Source organism: Homo sapiens, chromosome 8 (genome assembly GCF_000001405.40).
Source record: "Homo sapiens chromosome 8, GRCh38.p14 Primary Assembly".
Taxonomy (NCBI): Eukaryota; Metazoa; Chordata; class Mammalia; order Primates; family Hominidae; genus Homo; species Homo sapiens.
In genome coordinates this window covers 6,600,977-6,624,844 of record NC_000008.11, presented here as the reverse complement: position 1 = coordinate 6,624,844, position 23,868 = coordinate 6,600,977, and the positions used below count along the sequence as shown (strand labels likewise).

At 47.9% G+C, this 23,868-nt stretch overlaps 1 protein-coding gene, 1 long non-coding RNA gene and 1 other non-coding gene across 12 annotated transcripts in view, besides 3 other annotated features; 2 read left to right on the top strand and 1 right to left on the bottom strand.

Annotated features, from left to right (window-relative positions):
* Positions 1–9,242, top strand: part of MCPH1-AS1 (MCPH1 antisense RNA 1) — a 92,607-nt gene extending 83,365 nt beyond the window's left edge. Inside the window, exons 3-5 of the long non-coding RNA NR_125386.1 lie at positions 3,210–3,422; positions 4,621–4,710; positions 5,643–9,242. This is a non-coding gene — a long non-coding RNA (MCPH1 antisense RNA 1). The remainder of the gene's footprint in view (positions 1–3,209; positions 3,423–4,620; positions 4,711–5,642) is intronic.
* The window catches only part of MCPH1 (microcephalin 1), a 241,882-nt gene that overhangs the window by 23,664 nt on the left and 194,350 nt on the right, over positions 1–23,868 (bottom strand). For 9 of the 10 annotated variants that reach the window (NM_001322042.2, NM_024596.5, XM_047422234.1 and 6 more), the window contains one exon: positions 3,154–3,391. The exons of the other annotated variant lie outside the window; for it this stretch is intronic. In NM_001322042.2, the coding sequence (NP_001308971.2) occupies positions 3,154–3,391 (238 nt within the window). The remainder of the gene's footprint in view (positions 1–3,153; positions 3,392–23,868) is intronic. 10 annotated transcript variants of the gene reach the window in all.
* Positions 688–1,188: an enhancer, noted in NCBI's record as "H3K4me1 hESC enhancer chr8:6481178-6481678 (GRCh37/hg19 assembly coordinates)". NCBI's record gives its function as "activates a minimal SCP1, AML or CMV promoter by ChIP-STARR-seq in naive H9 embryonic stem cells {active_cell/tissue: H9 hESC(naive)}" and the evidence as "EXISTENCE:reporter gene assay evidence [ECO:0000049][PMID:30033119]".
* Positions 2,625–2,721, top strand: MIR8055 (microRNA 8055). Its single transcript, NR_107022.1, has one exon. It is a non-coding gene; the product is annotated as a microRNA 8055 (primary transcript).
* Positions 8,269–8,770: an enhancer, noted in NCBI's record as "NANOG hESC enhancer chr8:6473596-6474097 (GRCh37/hg19 assembly coordinates)". NCBI's record gives its function as "activates a minimal SCP1, AML or CMV promoter by ChIP-STARR-seq in primed H9 embryonic stem cells {active_cell/tissue: H9 hESC(primed)}" and the evidence as "EXISTENCE:reporter gene assay evidence [ECO:0000049][PMID:30033119]".
* Positions 21,940–22,439: an enhancer, noted in NCBI's record as "H3K4me1 hESC enhancer chr8:6459927-6460426 (GRCh37/hg19 assembly coordinates)". NCBI's record gives its function as "activates a minimal SCP1, AML or CMV promoter by ChIP-STARR-seq in primed H9 embryonic stem cells {active_cell/tissue: H9 hESC(primed)}" and the evidence as "EXISTENCE:reporter gene assay evidence [ECO:0000049][PMID:30033119]".

Below are 23,868 nucleotides of genomic sequence, written 5' to 3'. Positions count from 1 at the left end.
GCAAATAGCCTGGACCTGGATGAGGCAGGAAACGCAATGCCCTGGACTGTGTGTTCTGTAGGTTTACGTGTGTATGTATGGACAGAAAAATAAACCTTCCTTTATTTGTACATAGCGGCAGCTACCAGATTGGAATTCAATTCACAAAGAGAAAAATACAAAAAAATCTACTTGTCTATTAAAGGATAATGTTTAGCAGAGGGTGAGAAAAGCCAGAAGTATGTACGGACAGAAAAATAAACCCTTCTTTATTCGTACATAGCTGCAGCTACTAGATTGGAATTCACTTCACAAAGAGAAAAATACAAGCCAATAAATACTTGAGAACTACGTGATCTTACATCTCAGAGAGTGTGGGCTGGAGAGGCCTGGTACACTGGAGAGGTCTACTACACTGGAGATGCCCACTACACTGGAGACGCCCACTACGCTGGAGACGCCCACTACACTGGGGTCTGGTGGCCGGCGAGTGAGGGGACCTGTCTCACATGGGTGAGGTCTGCAGCACACACAATACCCAGATGTTACCAAGGGCACAGGCAGATGGCATAATTGGTGAGAAATCAGAAACAGGACACAAGTTACAGGAGGAAAGAAAAAGAGGCTGGGGCCTGTGGCCCAGGCCTGGAAGTCAGAGAACTCTGAAGGGCTTTGCGGGATCGAAGCCTCAGGATTAAGCAGGTAGACATTCGCCTCCTGAAAACCCACGGGCGGGAGAGCCGAGCGGCAAAACAACCGGAGGAAGTGAGCAGCTGCCGAGCAAGCGTGACTCCACACAAGGACGCAGGACCCACAGGAAGGGGCTGTCAGAGCCACCCAACCTGGAAACACGAGTGCAGAGGCAGGCTCGGGCACTGCACGGCACACGCTTTGCAAACTCCAAAAAGACTGCCTGTTGATATGCACTGTGGATATCAATCGTGTGCACAGTTCCGTCAGCTGGCCCAGACATGCTTTCAGGCCCAGTTCTGTTCTGCAGTCCGTGGCATTTTGATAATACACTTCTCCAGAAAAACAAAACAACAACCTCTGTTTCAGAACATAGGATGTTTTGAAGGTTATATTCTTGGCATTTAGAAAAGAGTAAACAGCCTCTTAGCTTTTGGACTGTGACTAAAATCAATAGTTTTTTTTTTTTTTTTTTTTTTTTTTTTTTGGAAGTTGGTTTCCAGGCAAAAGATGAATTACTCTGCACCAGAGTAAAAAATTACTTTTGATTGCCACACTTCTAAAATATATGAAAGGATGACCATCAGTCATGTAAAAGATACTTGTAAAATGTCCGTAGTTAGATACGAATGTAACTTGAACAAACACAGTATCTACTTGTCTATTAAGGGATAATGTTGAGCAGATGATGAGAAAAGCCAGAAGTTTAGGATTTAGAGACATGCAAAAGTACTAAGAAAGGAGACTGAATAGGAAACATGGAAGGAGATGGAAGCAAAGAGAGAGAAAAAGAATGAGAGAACAGGAGAGAGAGAGAGAGATTGAGAGAGAGAGAGGGGATGTACCTCTAAAGTCGGGTAAGGATCTTGGCCCCAGGGGCTGAAACTAGAGTGATTCATTGTTATGGGCTGAATTGTGTCTGCCCAAAATTCGTATGTCGATGTCTTAACCCTCAGTAACTCAGGATGAGACTGTATTTGGAGATGGGGCCTTGAAAAAGACAAGTTAAAATGATGCCACTGGGGCTGGGTGCAGTGGCTCACACCTGTAATCCCAGCACTTTGGGAAGCCAAAGCAGGAGGATCGCTTGAGCCCCGGAGTTTGAGACTATCCTGGGCAACATAGGGAGACCCCATCTCTACAAAAAAAAAAAAAAAAAAAAGAAAGTAAAGCTGGGCATCGTGGTGTGCACCTGTAGTTCCAGCTACTTGGGAGGCTGAGGCAGGAGAATCACTTCAGCCAGAGAGGCTGAGGCTGCAGTAAGCTGTGATCATGCTACTGCACTCCATCCTGGGTGACAGAGCGAGACACTGTTTCAAAAAAATAAATAAAAGCAAATAAAAGTATGCCATTGGGTGAGCCCTAATCCAATCTGACTGGTATCCTTAGAGAAGAGAACATTTGGACACACACAGAGATACCAGGGATGTGTGTGCATGGAGGAAAGGCCACGTGAGGTCACAGGAAGAAGGCAGCTGTCTGCAAGCCCAGGAGAGAGGCCTCAGGGGAAACCAACGCTGCCGATACCCCATCTTAGACTTCCAGCCTCCAGAACTGAGAGACAATGCGTGTTGTTTGAAGCCACCCAGCCTGTAGTATTTTGCGATGGCAGCCCAAGCAAACTAACATGTTTATCACAACCCCATGGAGGAGGGTGTGGGATTTCCCCACAGTGGAGCCCTAGGCTTGTCCCGCCACATATGACTCCACCACAGGGCAGGTAATTTCTAGCACAGACGCTGCCCCTGCTTCCTCCGCATTCCCCAGGCCGTCCTTGCTTCACACTCTTCCTTAACCCTCTTCTCCGGGGATCACCTGCAAGTCTCCTGGAGCCCGTGTGTTAGCACGGCGTGGGGTTCCAGCCTCCTCCGATCTCAGCTCAGCTCCTACCACCTCTTCCTCCCCAGAATCGCACACGGCGCCTGGCGCAGCTCCATGAACGCCAGAGTGGGACATTACGGTCACACTGTGCTCACTTTGTCAAATAAAAGATGGAGTCGTTTGACGTCTTTTAACACCCTTTGAGCACATGAGCAGACGGAGTGATCATGAGATGTACCTGGGAGAGGAGATGACAGGGACGGGGGCTTGGGCCCCAGTGCCGGGCGCTGCCAGGGACTCCTGAAGCAGGACAAGGAGGCACTGGGGAGGGAGGGTCTAAGAGGGGTGCCCGGAGAGTCTGTGCCCACAGGGGTGGCCCGGGGTGGCTTTGGGTAGCCTGGATTTTTCACACGAGCCAGGGAAGTCAAGTGGGGAAGTCCAGTTAGAGTTCCCATTTCCTCGTGAACTGTACGTCTGCTAACAGCAAGGAGCGGGAATGCCGAGGGTGACCACACGACGCTGCCAGGGCAGATGCTGGAGGCTGAGACATCAACCCAGGTGCCCCAGCTGCGTGGAAGGGGGTGTGAGCCTGACGCCGCCCTCCCTGGAAACCTGTCCACAGATCTGGACCACACCACAGCGTCTGTGTGCCTGGATTCTTACCTAAGACCCATTTCTCAGACAGATACTTGACTGTGGCTTTCTTCTTTCCGCTGTAGGGCCCGATGACGATGCTGGCCTGGCGGGGGACTTGGCTGACCCGGCCTCCGCACAGGTGGACTAGTTCACAGAGCTTGGCCACTGGGGGGCTGCTGGCAGGCGAGACAAACATCGCTGGCTGGTCGGCAAAGAGGGTTCCGCGGTACGGCCCTGCAGACAAGTGGCACTCGCTTCGGCACAGCTGTGGGGCAGACAGAGATAGAATTACAGAGGTGGGACCACTCCAGTCTCCATAGCGTAGGCGAACTGTTGCAGTTTACTTCCTTTTTTATGAAAAGAATAGACTGAATGTAAGGCTGCCATGCTCCTGTGAATTTTGAATTCTGAGAATCCAGAGAAGATGATGACATTAATGACATAAAACTGACGTTTTCTGAAGTAGCCATGCGTAAAACTCCAAGGAAACAAATTAGAAAAAAAAAAGTGTAGGCCTTTGAATTATTCCAAAGCCTCAAACAAAATATTGAAAAGCAACTGTTAGCACAGCAGAGCCATAGCTAGGCTGAACTCTCACTAAAGTAACTTGGTGACGTGTGCAAGTGACGGCAAGATTCTAATGCACTGCAAATGCCGGCTGTGCTGGGAGAGCGTCATTCAATCCAGCGCGCTCCAGGCTGTTGGCAGAAAAGGACTTTTATAGGATGTAAGAAATGCTGTAAATCCAATACCATGGTCTGGACGGGGAAAGGGAGAGTGAGGCAATGCAAAAGTAGAATTCCTAGAGCCATTCCCGAAACACGCTGGGTTTGGGGGAGAGAGGTGTCTCGAGATTGTTTCAATGAGCTGTTGGGAAACATTTCAGAAGCAGGGATGTGAAGCTGCTCTGCTTCTCATTCTGGCAATGTGTGGTCATCTGTTTGACTCAGAGGACCGCGGGAAGGCCCAGTTATTCTGAACACGCATTTTCCTAACTACGGGTTGGTAAAGACTTCTTCAGTGTACACACCCTGCGAGATGCTATGGGTTATGTGCCATCCACGTTTTGTTTTGCGTATTTTCCCTGCTTATTTTTCCTACAATATCTGAAATTAATGGTTCACACAAATTAGAGATTTGAGGGGATGTATTTCGGGGAAGGGATGAAGGGACCTTCTCAGAGGAGTATAACCTGGGGTGGGGTGACGTCGGGGTCCTCTCAGTCAGGGGCAGCAGGCAAGGCTGACCTCGGAGGCAGGGGTAGGGTGCAGGTTGGGGGAAGAGCAGCAAAGAGTAAATTCCACAGCCCACATCACTCACAAAATCAGAGAAACAGTGAACTATTCTTCTGCTAGGTTTTCCTACTACTGTAATATTTAACAAAAGAGGATCCTACTGTGAAAATATAGCTCCAGCATCAATGGAGTAGATCCGATACACTTATATATGCTCATGGAATTTGCTTGTTCTCTCCCCTTGTGTTGAATTTTATAGCATAATAAATACCGAGCCTCAGCAGCTTTCATGTGCCTTGCAGGAGACAGTGGCAGCAGGGGCAAATGATTCTTCCTGGATGGTGACTTTGTGAGTATTTTTGGCACTATATCCTGCGAGATAGGCAGTGGAAAGGGCTACTGATTTAATTTGCAGACAAAGAGACTGAGCTGATGCAAGGCAAGAGATTTGCTTTGGCAAATGGTGAGTCACACTGCAAGAAAAAGCCATGGTCCCTAGCATCACGGGGCCAAGCTGCATGGAAATGGAATCAAGAAAGAGTATCTTTCATTTTAAAGTAGGACACACATACATTCAAAAAGTTAATTATGAAAGTATCTGGCCGGGCACGGTGGCTCACACCTGTAATCCCAGCACTTTGCGAGGCTGAGGCGGGCAGGTCACAAGGTCAGGAGATCAAGATCATCCTGGCTAACATGGTGAAACCCTGTCTCTACTAAAAATACAAAAGATTAGCCAGGCGTGGTGGTGGGCACCTGTAGTCCCAGCTACTCGGGAGGCTGAGGCAGGAGAATGGTGTGAACCCGGGAGGTGGAGCTTGCAGTGAGCTGAGATTGTGCCACTGCACTCCAGCCTGGGCAATAAGAGCAACACTCTATCTAAAGAAAAAAAAGGCTGGGCGCAGTGGCTCACGCCTGTAATCCCAGCACTTGGGGAGGCTGAGGTGAGTGGATCACTTGAGGTCAGGAGTTCGAGACCGGTCTGACCAACATGGAGAAACCCCATCTCTACTAAAAATACAAAAACTAGCCGAGCATTTTGGTAGGCGCCTGTAATCCCAGCTACTCGGGAGGCTGAGGCAGGAGAATCGCTTGAATCTGGGAGGTGGAGGTGGCAGTGAGCAGAGATGGCGCCACTGCGCTCCAGCCTGGGCGACACAGCAGGACTCTGTCTCAAACAATAAAATAAAGTATTTGATTGTTGAAGCAATACGGAAGGGTATAAAGTAAAAAGGGGCTTTTCCTGTTAGACACTGTTGTCTGTGTCTTCTTTATTGGCAGAACAAAGACTTCTTCTGGGGGGCACCGATCTCCACCTGGCCATGTCTTCAAGCCCAAGGAGAAGTCCCAGGATGGGTCTGAGCTAATCACGGTGATCGCAATACAAATGACTGCGCTAAGCATGGCACAGCTGGCCTCAATCCTGGCCAATGCAACGTGAGAATCAATTGCTGGTGGGATTCTGGGGGAGTTTTTCTCACTGTTATAAACAGATGCAAAGCAGAAATACTTCTCTTTGCTGGACACTGTCATGTCTAATGTGACGCCTGGATCACTGAAGCCCCCAGAGGCCACGGGACACGCTGAAAATGGCCCAGTGGGAAGGCGGAAAGCCTTGGGTCCTGAAAAACACTTCTAAGTCACTGACGGACCAAACTGAAATCATCCTTTATTTTGTTCTTTTCATGTCAGAAAAAAAGACCCCTAAATTCTTTAAGTGACTTTTTTGTTAAGTTTTTGTTTCTAGAAGCCCAAAATATCCTAATAATAATAATTTTAAATAATCCACCTATTTTTGGAAATAGCTTGTTCATCATTGAGATTATGAATAATAGATCAGTTCTCACCCCTGCCTTCCCCACCATTTACCAGAGTTAACAACTGTGAAAAATTCTCTGTGTATTTTTAAAAATCCTGTAAAATGCACACACAACACACACACACATTTATGATAATGCTTGTTCTTAACCAAAAACTGAGATCTAATCTCTATCTCACTATATGGATAAGCAGTAAATAAACCTTTTTGTAATGCAGTAGAAAAGGAAATCAACCTCTCGAATGTTTAGGATGTGACTTCAGTAGCTAGTTTCTTTGTGCTGTGACACTGCCTTCAGAATTCTGATCTTGGCCAATTTTCCTATCCAGCAAATAAAGCACCATTTCCCCCACACTGGTACATTTTAAAAAGTTAGCTGTGAATTCTAAGCTGCAAATATTAGATGCAGCAGGCGGTGTTCTCATTGTATCACCACTGGCTCTCGCCAAGGAGCCTGTGTGTTACCTGGAGATCAAGGCGAAAAGCCTCAAACGCACAAATTCTGAAGTCAACTTGCTGTTTATTATTTTCATGGATTTTTCAATACCCTTGGTAATCGCAATTTACAGCAATGTGCTCTAAACTCTAACTTCAGCTGGGCAAAGTGGCTAACACCTGTAATCCCAGCACTTTGGGAGGCTGAGGTAGTTGGATTGCTTAAGCCCAGGAGTTTGAGACCAGCCTGGGCAACATAGGCAGACCCCATCTAGATAGATAGAAAGATAGATAGATAGATAGATAGATAGATAGATAGATAGATAGATTAGATAGATAGATAGATAGATGGATGATAGACAGACAGACAGACAGACATAGATAAGCAAGCCCGGCATGGTGTCACATGCCTATAGTTTCCGCTACTTGGGAGGCTGAGGTGGGAGGATCACTTGAGCCCAGGAAGTTGAGGCTGCAGTGAACTGTGATTGTGACCCTTCACTCCAGCGTGGGTGACAGAGCGAGACCCTGTCTCAAAACAATACAACTCCCCACCCCCAACAAAAACCAATGATTCTAATTTCATTGCAAACCTTTACACACACACACACATGCACACACCCCAGAAACAGGAGTGCGTGCAGGACATGTGGAGGGGACAGACGTAAGTTGGGGAACGATGGCTCGGTGGCATCGTGTTGTTTTATTTTTGTTGTTACCTCAGTGAAAACCTCAGATATAACCAGGCTCATCTATTTATATATTGACCCAGAAGTTTCTAGCTAAAAAATGTTAAAAGATAATTTTTTAAAAATCATAACTTTTGGGAAGCTGAGGCAGAAGAATGGTGTGAACCTGGGAGGAGGAGCTTGCAGTGAGCCGAGATTGCGCCACTGTACTCCAGCCTGGGCGACAGAACGAGATTCCACCTCAAAAAAAACAAAAAAAAAAACAAAAAAAACACCCCCCCCCCACCAAAAAACCCATAACTTTCATACAGGTATAAAATAAACAACAGTGTATTCATTTTACTTAACTCAAATGCTATAACTGGTTCAAAGGACAATCCGAAGAACACATTTAATGATTAGGAATACTGATATAAACTTGCTAATGGACAAAAAATATTGGCTTTCCTACAAGGTAGGAAGCATTCCCTCTACCAGACAGAATTCATTTCCTGCCCACAGACAAGCGCGTTTGCATTGCCAGCAGCTATTTACAACTTATGAAGCTGTAAAACAGCTCCCAAGCAATGAAGGCTGCAAGCAGATAAGGTGGCAGGCCGTGAGCAGGCCTCAAATGGAGTTTTACAGTGAAGCACAAATGTTCCCCTACAGAACCCAAGATGTCTCTTTAAAAGAAATCATGAAAGAAGAGGGGATTAAGTGGAGCTTATGGACTGCTCCAGGGTTAAGTGGCCTCCAAAATAAACAACAGGACTGCTCAGTAGTCAGAGTGAATTTTGGGTGGGGTTTGAAAGAGTTCCAGCTTTCCTCTGCTAATGGTGACATAAAATGTTCATTTCATACCCATGCATATACACTGATGTATACATGTAGTTGAGGAGGCAGTGGCAGAAGCCAGAAGGCTTTCTCTGCCATGAGCTCCTCCTAGGAGCCCTGGGTTGCAGAGGGTGAGGACTGCTAGGAAAGTCCGTCAGTTAAGGCCGAAGGGACATTAGCTTTGCCTTAAACCACATTGGCTGTGCTTGCCTTTGTGTCTTCACCTGATTTAATGGGTTTTAGCTCACACTCTCCGAATCTATTTACCTCCAAGTCAGTTAAGGCAGACTGTACTGTTGACAAAGCTAAGCAGAACAGAATTTCCCCATGGCTTCTAGCTTCAAGGAATCCCAGCTATTTATCCATCACCAAGAAATGAAGCCCCATGGGTGGCTGACGGTTCATTTACTCCAGCCCAGGGTGTTGGATTTCAATTAGTGCATTCGCTTTTCCCTCTAGGCAGAGCTCACCCTTTAAAGTCGCTCCTTGGCCTGCTAACTGTCTTAAGATGCACTTTCCCATCTCAACAATGATACAGGACGTGTCTTACAGGGCTGTAGTTCTCATTCACAGCATTCTTCCTCTGAGTGGTCCAGGAAATACTCGCAGGCCTTACAGTCAAGTCACCTTAGATTTAAAGTACGGAATACGCGAAACCTTCCTAACTGGTAAAGCGCTCAGTAATGCAAGCTCTGGGTGCAACTCAGTGGTTCTTAGTATAGTCAGAGTTATGCGATCATCAGCACAATCTACTCACACCCTCCTCGAGGTATTAAATAAATATTTCAGAATCCACAATGCAGCCAATCTCATCAATAACTTTACTGAATCCTGTAGCCCAGCACTCAGGGGTTCTCTAAAACCCTGCCCCGCCTTCCCCTCCAATTGCGGTGCCCACTGTCTCTTTTAAATAGACTCTGTCCTCATCAAGCCTGTTCTCTGTCCCCCAAATATGCCGTATCATTCCTTAATGCATGCATTTTTTCCCCAGTTCCCTACAATCTTATAATTAGTGGTTACGCTAATCTATATGTGTGTTTAAACTCATAGAATTGTATACAAAAAAGTCAACTGTACTGTGTACACACATTTAAAAGATAAAATGTGTTCTTTTAACGCTTACATTGGTCTACTTTCCATTTTTTCTTGGATCCTGGCAAGGCCTTCCTGTGCTTCCTAAGACATAAAATCCTCCTCCCAGCACCTGCCTCCTGCCCCCAACTCAGGGCTGAGCCACAGAATCAATGCACGCATCCCCACATCACCCCCTGCAGAAGTACCTGCACATTCGTTCGTTGTGTCGTTAAGTGAACTCATTTCATTGTGAGTATCAGGCTAAGTTCTGAGGATGCAAAAATGCAGGGACATGGTCTTTGCTTCTCAGGACACCCTAGAAGTTACACACATTTCATGGGCAGGAAAGTGGGAGCCTGAGTAGGCTTGGGGCATTGAGGGAGGACTTCCTGATGGTGGCATGTGACATGGAGTCGTGAGCAGAAAGACAGTTCCTCACGGAAAGCACACAGGAGCCCCTCAGGTCCTGAGACCTGGGTGTCTGAAGACTCACGGCATGTGTGAATGCAGCCCAGGGGATCGGCAGGCAATAATTGCAAGAGCTAACTTGCTAAAACATTCACATGCACGCCAAGTGATGAGGTGTGGACCAGACCGTTCGTGCTTACGCAGTGTGAGCGTGGTTACTGGGGACCTTAGAAACCTGAGCAGACAAGGCCATGGGGGGATCCGTGTGTTAGGAGGCTCACTATGCAGACAACGTGGAGGACAGATGGAGGGGTTGAGATCAGGAAGACCCAAGAAAAAGGGATGGAGTAGGGTGGGGTATGGGGTTGGGGAAGGGAGGGAGATTCAAGACAGAATGAAAAGTCAAACTCACCAGGAATCCAGTAATGTGACTGGCTTCCTGTGTGCAAATGGGGAGGTGAACACTAAGATACCACGGGGGCCACACAGGCATGTGTAAGAAAGCTCAGCTGTCGAGGTTTTGAGGTTTCCAATGAATAATCCATCTTTTTTGCCCCCAGCTTCAATAACAACTGAGAGGCAGATATAGGCATTGAACTACAGAGACAAGTCACGTTGATTATTCATAAGGCTGGCTGCAGATTGGGCGTTAGGCCAACGGACGTGTGTGTTTGCTAATGTCCTCTGATAACTTAGAAAGACCACCCACCAAGCCACATGGGCACTGGACAAAGGGCCTGCCTCCACGCAGGGAGGGACAAGAGGGGGCGAGAAATCAGGCTTTTTCCAGGAGGCAGTACGTAGTTGTGGTAAGATTTGATTAAGTTGGTCTTCCTCTGGAGGAGATGGGGGTGAGGGGAGGAGGCGCCAGCCTGGCAGCGGAAAGCTATAAAGGAGGCAGGCCCCTCACCACGCATGGGAGGAGGCAGGCATCTGAAACCTGGGGCACCTGACCGTCTTCCATCGTGAGTCCTGTCCGAGCGGCCAAGCTTTGGTGAAAGCCCTGGCTCTGCACAACCGTCTCCAAAACCATATCCTAGTGCTGATCATTGCAAAAGAGGTGAAGTCAGACCCAGAGGCCACCATTTGGAAAAACAAAACATTTTTAGGAGTCTAACCTTCTAAAATAATTCTCAGTGTAGAGTTACACGTGACAATGTGGCCTGCACTGAGCCCATCAAAGTCGGCATTAACTGGTCTTTGGCACCAGGGAGAAGTACAAACGATGTCTGCAGCCTGTGGACCTTAGAAAAACCAGAGAAATAGGAACGGAGCACACCATTAACTATTCTGGTGATCACTTCAATCCCATTAAAGTAAAAAAGGTCTTCAGATGGGGAAGTCATGGAGGCTCCTGAAACTCTGCATCAAGTCTTCTCCCTTGGCGATCAAAAGCATCCCTGCCCCTGGCTGCCACCTCAAAGCGTCCTGTTCCCTGGCCGTCCACAAGCCAGCTCCACACCCCGTGCTGCTAGACGGGGGTGCCCACTTCAACCTCGCTGTTACTGTCATTCCTCTCGGCCCTGATGACTCTGTCTCTATCTCCATCACTGATCCTGTCCCACTTCCTGGAAGTCTCAGGACATCCACAGGTGCCCCTTCCAACCCCCTCACCCCCCGGTCCCTTGGGCTCCTGTCTCCCCGGGGAACTGCAGAATCCCTTGCAGCTTCCTCCGTAGCTGCCACCTCCCACCTTGTCTGCAGCCCCAGGCCCCTGCCCAGCGGATGCGACTGACTCCCGCCTTCACCCCTCCATGTCCCAGCCCCTAAACCAGCACACAGCCCACCACCCCCCCGTGACTCCCTGGCCCTTCTCTCCACGTCAGACTGAGTCAAACCACAACCCGGGTTAAATTCAGATGCCGAGCTTCTCTGCACCGGCATCGCCGCGGGTGAATCTGGCTGGTGTGCCAGTCCCCTGACCGTTGGCCGTGTGGCCCTCCGTGTTTCTATCCACTGTTTCTACCCGGCTCGTCCTCCCCTCCTCTGCCTGGCCATTCCCGTCTGCCTGGCCTTCAGCCTATAAGCCCTTTCTCACGCTCAGCCGTGGCTCCCCACTGAGGACAGTGGAGTAACAGAGATGTCTCCTGCTTCCCGGCACCCGGCACCTGCTGCAGGCCTGCCTTCCTCAGAACCCCAGGCTGCTGGAGAGGAACCCCCATATGGAAGGCCGATCCCCCAGCAGGCCAACCCCATGCCTCTCGCCTTCTCAAGGACACGCTCCATCAGGTCTTCCTTCTGTCCCGTTTGTCATGTTTTGGCTCAAAACCGTCACAACAACAAAGAACACAAATGCTGTTATTTCTCCCAACCTGCAAACCCCTTCCCTCTTCACTTCCTTTGCATCTTTTTGTAACAAAACTTCTTGAAAGAGTGGCGCACGCCCACTAAACTCACACGCTCTGCCTTTGCTTCCACCACACCCACGAAATTGCGGGGTTCACAGGCGGTTCTCAGTCCTCTTCTCAGAGGCACCACCAGCTGGGAGAAGGAGCAGGACATGGAAAGTGCAGATAGCAAAAGCAGGTGAAGCGGCGATGTGAGCGGAGGAGGCGCCCAGAACACCAGGCCAGGCAGGGGAGGTCGGAACAGAGGCAGGCCAGCCAGCTGGGCAGAGAGAGCCGGAGCAGGCCCGCAACCAGCGGTGCCGGACGCAGTGGGGGTCAGGAAGCCCAGGGTGGAGGCTGCAGGGATGAGGACATGCACTGAGCGGGGCAGGCACCGGTGCTGAAGAGCACGGGTCGGGGAGGATGTGGACTAGCCAGGTCGCAGAGGTAATGGAGAAAGGGGTAGCCCTCAAAAGACAGGCAGCAGCACTGCCAGGCGGCACGTGGAGAAGGATGAAAGCCTCAGAACAACTCTCCAGCTGGGGCAGAAGAGTTATCACGCCCGGGAAGTGGGCTGGCTGTGGAGGAGAGGAGGTTGGCCTTGGGGAAGGGGGGCTTGGCTTAAATAGGCAGAATGTGATGGGGCAGCTAGTCACCAAATTAGGCAGAGTGAGGGGGTGACACTGTGCTATAACGAGAAATATGTATTTGGTTTCTGCCCCGGGTTCCTGGCAGTGAGCCCCTAAACCCTTGGAATTCCCCGAGCGATGCAGAAGAACGTCCTTCATCATTTATCACAAGCCCTTTCCAACCCTACCTGCGTGTATGCTAATGAGGTGGCTCCTGGAGGCTGGGGGCCGAGTGCCAGAGGAACGTGCCCAATCTTTGGAGGGTTGAAACTTTCAGCCCCACCCCCGCAAGGTCTGGGGTTCACTCAATGGCCAATGATTTCATCAGTCCTGCCTATGTAATGAAGCTCCTTAAAAATCCCGACGTCAGGCCGGGCGCGGTGGCTCACGCCTGTAATCCCAGCACTTTGGGAGGCCGAGGTGGGTGGATCACGAGGTCAGGAGACCGAGACCATCCTGGCTAACACGGTGAAACCCCGTCTCCGCTAAAAATACAAAAAATTAGCCGGGCGTGGTGGCGGACGCCTGTAGTCCCAGCTACTGGGGAGGCTGAGGCAGGAGAATGGCGAGAACCCGGGAGGCGGAGCTTGCAGGGAGCTGAGATGGCGCCACTGCACTCCAGCCTGGGAGACAGAGTGAGACTATGTCTTTAAAAAAAAATAAAAAAAAATCCTGACGTTAAAGGGTTCAGGAGCTTTGGGGTTGAACACACCCTGGTGCAGGAGGTGATGCCCCCTGAGAGGGCATGGCAGCTCCGTATGCCCTGCTCCCCGGCCCCGGGCCCTGTGCATCTCTTCTCTGGCTGTTCATTCACATCCTTTCAAAATAACGTTTGTGATGAATTGGTCAATGTTAAGTGTTTCTCTGAGTTTTGTGAGCTGCTGCAGCAAGTTACAAATCCCAGGAGGGGGTTGTGGCAACCCCTGATTTACCGCTGGTCAGTTAGAACGGGGATTTGGGACAAGCAATTGGCATGGGTAGGGGGGCAGGCTTGCGGGGCTGAGTCCTTCACCTGCTAACTCCAGGCAGGCGGTGCCACAATTGGATTGTAGGACACTCAGCTGGTGTCTGCAGTGAACTGCAGAATTGTTTGGCATGAAAAAAACCCATACATTTGGTGTCAGAAGTGTTTTCTGAGTGTGTGTGTGTGTGTGTGAGTGTGTGTGTGAGAGAGTGTGTGTGTATGTGTGTGTGTAGCAACAGTAGAAGCAGTAGCAGTAGTAGGAAAAACAGGAGTTTGTTTTCTTTTAGAGGAACAGTTCTGCCTGCAGCTTGCAGCTGGAGAGGGGTCTGGGAGACATCTGAGTAGAGGTGACAAGCAAAGCCACAAGCGCATGGATTCATTTTCTGCTAAATTTGCAGTTCAAAAGTCCCAAGTTTCAATTTTGTAATATGAAACACTGTCCGTGAAACAGTTCTTGAAAGAACAAGAAAGGTTTTTTTTTTTCTGGAAGAAAAATCAGCGTCTTATGTTCTTAGTTTTAAGGAAATGGGCATGAAGTTGTCTCGAGTGTATGAAGACAGTTCTGTCAACTTCTGGCCTGGGAGACCCCCAGGCTCTGGGAAAGTAAAGATAACAGACTTGAAAATGCATCCTTCTTTTGGAAGTGGGCTTAGGGGTCTGTACTTTCTAAGCAGAATGATTATAGTTTTTCATCATGGGGGAAAAGAAAGCCTTAAACCAGGGAGCTAAAAAGAAAGAAGATAGATGCTGTTCTTTTTCCTTTCCCTGGGCAATTTTGTCACTGCAGAAAGGAAACAGACTGGAGGAAGATTATGGCTTTTGCTAAGAGTCGAACTAGAAAGGCTGAAAAGAGCAGCATGCAATGACAGTTGACGCCAGACTTTGGGATGGTTGGAACAAGTAGTGAGATTTAAGGTAAGTTATAAAAGGATATTCTAATCAGTAGCCAACAACATGGCTTGATTAGGTTAAGTAAAAGTTAAATGTCATAAATGAAGACACCTGATTGTAACTTAGAGTTTGTCTAAAATCAAGGTGGCTCGTGTTTTCCAAACCGCCTTCTGTCTGCATCCCAGCTCTTGCAAAAGAGAAGAGGGCTCAGTGGCAACCCAGCCCCACACATCTGCATCTATTTAAGAGAACCAGAAGCATGAGCATTTAACAGTCTGACAATGGAGACAAGAGGATGTCAAAGCAAGGAGACTCTCAAGGCCAGTAAAAATAGCGAACATGACTTAGAGGGTCCTTACGGCTCTTGGCAGTAAAGGCCTCAGGCAAAACCATGTGTTGTCAGGCCTGGGAGTATCGTTTATATAATCGGCCTTGCTTTTAATACTGAGATGTTTCAGGATGTTTCAGAAATAAAAGTTGAGAGAACTGCCAAAGAACTTATCCAGACAAAAAAGGAGGTGATGGCAGAGGAGGGTGTGTAATAAGGCAACCATGACCTGCACCCCCCTCACCCTCTGTGGTTTACCTGGCAGTCTGTGTGTGGGGGGGGGGCGGGGGGCATTGCTTTGATAATGAGATTCCCGGCAAAAATAAAATCTATGATGTTGTCAAAGAGCATGGCAGGCGAGGCCTGGGAAATGAGAAGTGGCTCACTCTCCCGGGACATCCTCCTCAAATTCTTATTTTATGCAAAAAGTAAAAGCGCATCAGGATAATCGCTCCCGGCTTAGCTTTTCCAAAAGCCACATGCAAATGGGACTTTCTGTTCTCCATGACGAACTAGCAGTTAAAGGAAGGCGGAATGTATTTTTTCCCCCTGACTTTCGCTGAAGGCGATTCAGACAACTGACACTGGAACTCAATGAGCGCCAAACTTGGATTTTTTTAAAGCATCATTTGAGGTTTTTTTCTTTTAAGGCTACATAAGTGATGGGAACATAATCGTCTTGGGAATCCACAAATAACTTTTTAAAAAGTCATAAATCTGGATTTCATGCCTCATAGTTTTCAACAACTGCGAGAAATATGTCAAAACTCGAACGCGGTAGGTTTCTGTCCCCGATAGTGGGCACACGCTCATGCTCTGGGTCCCGTCCATGCGCTTTGGTGGTAACTGCGTGAACTAGTCAGCAGCATGCTGCCGAGATGCCTTGGTTGCTTTTCACTGTCGTTTTTCAATATTACGATAAAATGCACAGGGAAAGAACTACACAACTTATAGAAACTTTGATTTCATCCTTAAAAAATGGTCTGATAGGTGGCATAGAAATTTGTAAACCTTATAATAACACGAAAGCAGGTCCACAATGTCATTGAAAGTTGGGGTTTTAGGCGAGAATTTGGGCAGGGCCACCCCCAGCAACTCTGCAGTATTCTGTGGGTCTTCATGCTTCAGAGGAGAAGCTCATCCTAGCTGTGCATTCTCATCGCCTGGGAAGCTGTTAGAATGTTGTTTTAGGGGCCCCACCCCACGCTAATTAAGTCAGAACACGGGATGGAGGGTGGTGAGGCCTAGGCATTAGTGATTGTTAAAGCTCCCTAGGTGAAGCTAATGGGCTGCTCAGGCTGAGAAAAGATTTTACCATGCCCGTGGTTCTCAAACTTGACTGCTAGGGCAGTCACCCGGGGAGTTTGAAACAATTCCAGTTGCTGCAGCCCCAACTCCGAGCATTCTGATTGAAGTATACGAGGTTTGGCCAGAGTAGCAGGAGTGACAAAATTCTCCCCAGACGATTCTAATGACAGCAAAGGACCGAATGAGAATCACGGAGGCTCAGAAGAGCAAGCGGGTCCATATCTCTAACAATAATCTTACATCTGTCAGTGAGCACTTAGCAAGTGAGTCCTGCTGCCCTGCACTGAGCACAGGAGAAGAAAACAGAGTCCCTGAGTCCCTGTTCTAACAAGCTTGAAGGTTAGGACAAGAAATCAGGGCAGCAAATGCAGTGTCAAGTCTAACAATTAGAAAGACACCCAGTGAAAGATGAGCTTCCTTTTTGATGGATACAGTGCTACAATTCTCAACGCATTTCTCCTTGCGATTGCCTTTAGGCCGACGTCTGCCTTTCCTCTCCTACTCACCTGTGAACACCTCAACACCTGCTCAGCCCCCCTGCCACCAGCCGGTAAGCACGGGCAGGTGAGGCCTGGCATTGTTTTCACTGTGCTCAGCTCATCAGGGTCCGGGCAGGCCGTGCGACCTCTCCCACCCTCGCACGTGAGTCAGCTCTGTCTGCCTTTCCTGGTTTGCTCTCCAGTTCCTCTGCTGAGGCTGGAGTCCTGCTGTGGGCTCCAGCTCACCTTGCTGGAGGTGAGCACTCCCCTCAGCCCCTGCCAATCCTCACCTCCTGGGGGTGGATCAAAAAACACTATTCCAAATGGTTGGTCTGGCCTTTCCCAGCTCCACCCACTTCTTGGGCGTGAATGGATCACTTTATTGCCAAACAAATCCGGGCCTGGTAGGTGTATTAGTCCGTTTTCATGCTGCTGATATAGACATACCCAAGACTGGATACTTTATAAAGAGAAAGAAGTTTAATGGTCTCACAGTTCCACCTGCCTGGGGAGGCCTCACAATCACGGCAGAAGGTGGACAGCATGTCTTACATGGCAGCAGACAAGAGAGAAAAATGGGAAGCAAGTGAAAGGCATTTCCCCTTATTCACCATCAGATCTCATGAGACTTATTCACTACCATGAGAACTGTATGGGGGGAAACTGCCCCCATGATTCGATTATCTCCCACTGGTTCCCTCCCATAACACATGGGAATTGAGGGAGCTACAATTCAAGATGAGATTTGAGTAGGGACACAGCCAAACCATATCAGTAGGGAAGGAAAGATTTCTTTCCTCACCCATTGCTAGGTTCATGGCTGGGGCCCTTCCCTGTAACTAAAGAGTAACAAGAGGAAAACAGGCACACATATTTAGTATGTGTTTCATGTGACTCAGGAGTTATCACAAGGAAAGGAAGACCCACAGAAACAGGCAAACTTGGGTATTTTGTACTTAGGTTTGATGAAGAGTGGATAGTGGTGGAGGAGGTGATTAGACAAACTGGGAGTGAGCTAATGGTGATAAACTGGGGTCACTGAGAAAGGCCTGTTTGTTCTGATTCTTCTCTGTGCTCTGTGTCTTCAGAGACAAGGATGTTCCTTTCCTCCAAGTATTGGGAAAGACTCTCCCAAATGAGGATCTTATAACCTGCCCCAGGGGAGAAGGGCAAGGAGGGGAAAGTGAGAGGGGCCTTCCTGCTTTTGCGATTTTCTGAAATGCCAAGGTGCTATAAATGGGGACAGTGTGTCCTGAACACCATCAGCCTCTTGGTTTCCAAATGCATTAGTCTGTTTTCATACTGCTGATAAAGACATACCCAAGACTGGGCAATTTACAAAAGAAAGAGGTTTAATGGACTTACAGTTCCATGTGGCTGGGGAGGCCTCACACTCATAGTGGAAGGTGAAAGGCACATCTCACATGGTGGCAAACAAGAGAAGAGAGCTTGTGCAGGGAAACTCCCCCTTATGAAACCATCAGCTCTTATGACACTTATTCACTATCACGAGAACAGCATGAGAAAGACCTGTCCCTGTGATTCAATTACCTCCCACAACATGTGGGAACTCAAGATGAGATTTGGGTGGGGACATAGCCAAACCGCATCACCTAAGGTTGCTGATGCTTTATTAGTTTTGTTGTGGATGCCACACCTTCTCACATACACCTTCTCACATACACTCTCCTCCTTACTAGAATATCTCCATTCAGCACAGCCTTGCTCCCTGTGTGGGAGGGGGCAGGAAGCAGCACATCCTCCTGACACTCCCTGGTCGACAGGCACTGGTTTATGCTGCCGGACCTAGGGAAGTTCCCTCCAACTAGGACAGGGACCTTGCTTTAATAGAACATGAACACCCACCATATATAGGTTAGGTTTTTAAATGAAGCCTTTACTCAAAGCCATGGTTTGGTTCAAGATGTATAAAATGCAACACGGACTGTTGGGAATTTTCAAGTTGAATTGGAATGAATTGTATTTGATTTCTCAAAAGCTTTTTACTCTCTTCTTTTGAGAGTTGCTAGATGTTTTAGATATATTATTTTATGTGCGAGTAAATGGAAACAACCTCATCATTTCAAGGCTTCAGTAATTTGTGTTGCCTTATAATCAGGCATATTCTTCAAAGTATGAACAAAGTACTCTCCAGAATCTTGCAACACTTTGGGACTTAGCAATTTATTGTCTGCCTACAGGAGCCACTGAACTTATCAAAAGCTTTACAACTTACTCACAATTTTTTTATTAAAACAAAACTTACCAGTGTGGATTCAGTTTTTTAAACAAGCAAATTGGCTTTAAAAATTTTTTACAAAGCCAGGCATGGTGGCTCATGCCTGTAATCCCAGCATTCTGGGGGGCCAAGGGGGGTAGATCACTTGAGGTCAGGCATTCGAGACCAGCCTGGCCAACATGGAGAAACCCATCTTTACTAAAAATACAAAAATTAGTTGGGCATGGTGGCAAACACCTGTAATCCCAGCTACTTGGGAGTCTGAGGCACGAGAATTGCTTGAACCTGGGAGGTGGAGGTTGCAGTGAGCTGAGATCGTGCCACTGCACTCCAGCCTGGGTGACAGAGTGAGACTCTGTGTCATAAAAAAAAAGATTACAAAAATAATGTCTGTGATTCACAGAACTTAAAAACAAAACTTGATCTCTTGGCATCCTTCTGGGGAAGGCCCAGATCAGCAGCCACTGACTTCATCCCTGCTTAGAGTCTAGAGTCCAGCTACTATGTGGTCTGGCTACTCAAAGCACAGTATTGTTATTTCATAAGACAGTAGAGGTTTACAGTTACATCTTGGTTTAAGGACATATTGTTCGTTTCCATGATTTATTTGCTGCGGAGTCTTTGGTCCAAAATGCAAACTCCCATCGCATAACACTTTTCTGCTTTTGGGGAATGCATTGGAATGAAAGGCAAGGACTCCCTGCTCTAGTTACAAAACTCACCCCTGGGTGAAACAAGCTTTTTTGCAAGGAGTGTGAGTCCCAAGCGAACAGGAGTACAGGCAGGGAGGAGAGAAAGGGCAGTGACAAGCTCTCAGGAAGGACAGATTCTAGCTGGATATCAACTTTTGGAAAAAAGAATATAAAATTCCCCCAACATGAGTAACCATTCCAGATTCAGGGACCCAACAAGAGCGGGGCTGGGTGTCAGGAGACCTGGCCTCTTTCTGGGTCCCCAAGCACCTGCTGTGGGACCAGGACCACTGAGACTCACAGGGAGAGGTCAGGCGACAAGGAGGGACATAGGGTCCTGTCGGGGTGACCTGACTTCTCTAGTCCTTAGTTCTTCCCCTCTGAAATGAAGGGATGGCACCGAACAATTTCCTAATTTTCTTTCCTTTTGAAAGTGTTTGATTCTGTGGTTCCTTCTGATCTTCTTGCTCTTACTCCTCCTTACTTAGAGACTCAATTTCCCCCCAGCTAATTTCAAAAGCTTCTATTGTACTTAAGTTGGTAATTCTAAGAAGTTTTGTTCATAGTATAAAAGTAGGCTGGGCTGGATGTGGTGTCTCACACCTGTAATCCCAGCACTTTGGGAGGCCGAGGCAGGCAGATCCCCTGAGGTCAGGAATTCGAGACCAGTCTGGCCAACATGGTGAAACCCTGTCTCTACTACAAATACAAAAACTAGCCAGGCGTGGTGGCACGCACGTATAGTCCTAGCTACTTAGGAGGCTGAGGCAGGAGAATCACTCGAGCCTGAAAGGCAGAGATTGCAGTGAGCCGAGTTTGCGCCACTGCACTCCAGCCTGGGCGATAGAGTGAGACTCCGTCTCAAAACAACAACAACAGCAAACGTAGGCTGGAGAATTCTGACATGTGCTCTCACATTCCACTGTATTTTGACCGACCCAAGCAAAGAGTCTTGGAGGTTTGTTAGGGAATGTTTAATTTTAAAAATTCATCATTAGGGTAGTGGAGTCTACAACAGAGATCTGATCTGAATCACCTAGTTTCTACTTCTCGGTCAAAAGTTCTTCTGTTGGCTGGAATGTGGCAGGCAGTGGGTGAAGCACATTGCCGGCCTCCAGGGCTGAGAACAGGGCTCCGTGGAGAAGCTGTGTCTGGGATGGCTCCATGGAGGGGCTGTGGCTCCTTCCAGTGCAAACCTGGAAGGCCACTTGGCTGCGGCCTATGACAGCATGGGGGCTGAGCTAGATGAGACAGGGAAGGTCCAAGATCAGGCTCCAGTCCCCATCCAGAGGCCACCAGCAGAGTGTGCCTGTTTCCTACTGGCCAGGGTGTGTGTGCGGATCAAAGGAGACATATGTCACAGACAGGTTAAAAAAAAAAAAAGTCAAAGTGAATAAAATAATTTGTTGAATACTGATTTTTAATCTTGTAAAAATAACTCTGATATCTTCACCAAATTATTTTTGAAACTGACTTGCAAATCAAGCATTGTAAAAAGCACATTTATTTCTTGGGAATCGGGTCCCTTAGTAGACCTGCTTTTTAATGTAAGATGGAATTGTAGCATACAGAGTATTGACTTGATGTGAAGTTCAGAGAATGCAAGTGGCAGTTTCAGAGTTTGTTACTAAGTCCCAGTTTGGATCCTCTTCTTAAAACCTTGCACAACCTACTTTCTGATTATTTATCTGAAACCAAGCTCAGCCTTATGAATAAGGAGTGCCTATGTAACTTACTGAAAGCAGGAAGGTACTTCCATCCCCAGATTCCCATCCCATACTTCCTTGCTAGTACCTTCCACATTATCAGTTATATCCTAAAATGCAAATGGCCCTGGGGAGAGAATGCATTAGCTAAATTCATATAAAGGCATAAACGCTCTACAGGATCATTTTCGAGCAAAGGGTATGTGTTTAACTTTTAAAATCAACTTTACTGAGGTATAATTTAAGAATGATGAAATGTAAAAATTTTGATGATTTTGACACATTGAAGTAATAACACCTCAATCAAAATATAGAGTACTTCCGTCATCCCGAAAAGTTCACTCATGCCCCTATGCATTCCATTGCCATTCCACCCCTGCACAATCACCAGTGAGAAAACTGAAGACAAAACTGAGCTGGCCCTTCTGAAACTATTCATGTTAATGGGACTATGAAAATAAGCACATTCCTATGAGCCCCAAGACCTCAGAGACATGGATGGATACTAAAGCAGAGTCCGGCGGTAGAGGCTGATCACTTTCTGATTTGACTTTTCTTAAAAAATCATTTTTGGGGAAACTGAGAAAATACAGGCTGAAAACTAGTGTTTGGGGGAGAATGGCAAAAAGTGCAAGCAATGACGTCAGGAGACTGATGCCCTGGGTTTATAGTACACCGGCCACACACACACACACGGATGCACACTCAAGGGCACACACATGCGCCTATGTACACAGACACACATGCACACACAAATATACATATATATATATTTTCTATTTTAAGACCAGACTTGCCAGGCCATATTTAGTTTATTGCATCTCTTTAAATAGCCAAAATGAAATAAAATCTGAAAACACCAAGCAAATATGCTTCCGAGAGTGGGGAGGTCAGAACAGGAGCAGAGTTAAAAAGAGTAAAATATGCAGAGTTGGGCCAAGAGGTGACTAAGAGGGAAGGAGATGATAAGATCTGTCACAAATACCTGGAGCTTGTAAACAACAAGGAAAGCAACAAACCCAACCAGCCAACAACAAAGGGTGACCAGGAATTTGCTGTGTATTAAAGAAAGGAAATGAACCAAAAGGCAAGCAGCCTTCCCCGCTTTGGGGAAGGCTCTCTGAGTGGGAGAGCACAGCCCAGCCGCCGCCACTCAGCCCCACACCCTCCCTTCCATCCATTCCTCCCGCATGCATCCAGATTCTCCCCAGAGAGGCTGGGGTCTGGCTTTCCCTCCTATCCTCACAGACACTGCTGAGGCTCAGGTGTCCTGCGGACACCTCTGGTTGCCAGGCCACTTCCCAGTGGGACTCTTGATCCTACCTTCATTTCCCTCCATGTCATTGCCATAGAAATCCGCACAGAATGCAAGGACGGTCCCTCTCCTGCTCCAGCCCGTGCCAGACAAAGTGTGCACCGCCCTGCTCTTGGTGCTTAAGGCTCCCCACGGGCTGGCCCCTTGTTGCCTCCCTCCTCGCTAGCGAGCACCCTTCCTAAGTCTTTCTGCTCAAGGACACTGGTTTTCCTGAGCTTGGCTCTCACTGCACTTTGTGCCTTGCTACTGCCTTCCAATCCGATTCCATTTAAACTCAGGAAGTTTATGGAGAGCCTTCTCTATTCCATGCAGTGGATTTAAAGCTATGAAAAAATTCTTCAGAGCCTGCATTCAGGAAGCTCATCATCTAGCAGAAGAGACATACTTAAAGAATTAATTACTATGGTACACTGATTACCCTTTTTATATGATAGTATTTATACTGGTGATATAAAAACATTACTATGAAACCATAAAAGAGGGTGACACTAATTTCTCTAGAAGCTCTGGGGAATGCTTTCCAGAAAAGCTTCTCCTTTAGATAATTAGGAAAGGCTTGTGTGTGTGTGGTGTGGGTATATGTGGTACGTGATTGGGTGTGTGTGTGTGTGTGGTGTGGGTATATGTGGTATGTGATTGGGTGTGTGTGTGTGGTGTGTGTTGTGTGTGGTATGCACTGTGTGTAGTGGCATGTGTATTTAATGTCTGTGTTGTGTGTATGTGTATGTATGGTGTGCATGTGGGTGGGTGGTGTGTATGGTGTGTGTATTTCTGGTGGGCATGTATGATGTGCATGTGGGGTGTGGGTGTGCGTAGGGGTGTGTGTGTGTGTGTGTGTGTGTCCCATATGATGGAGGACAGGTAGGGGGTGTCATGGCGGGAGGGAGATCGCCACAGACGTCCGGCTCCCTGCAGGAGGTGAGCAGTCCCGTACGGGCAGCCGGTATTAGGGCAGGAAGAGCCAGGAGGCAACCAGGTGGCTGGACGGAAGAGGAGGAGGGCAGTTTAAGGAGAGGTCTTGAAGGCTTTGCTCAAGAGTCTGAACTAGAACCTTCAGAGAAGGGAAATGACTAGAAACTGGGAAGCACAGGGTGCCCTGATGAGAACTGTTTTCCAGAGATGCACCTGCAAAGACAGCTGAGAGCTGTGAGGGTGGAAGCTGCAGGAATAATCCTCTGGAAAGTGCAGCTGCCCAGGTGGGCACAGCTGGGAGGTCTATGGACTCTGTCTCCAGGTGGTGGCTGCAGGGAGGCCTAGGGACAGGTCTCTCATCTCCAGGTGCTGGCTGCAGGGCCACAAAGCCAGCCCCCAGCCCACAGGGAGCCTCAGCTCTCCTTCCTGGGGGCTCCAGTCCCTATTTCCTCCCTTGGTGACCCCGTAATGGCCCT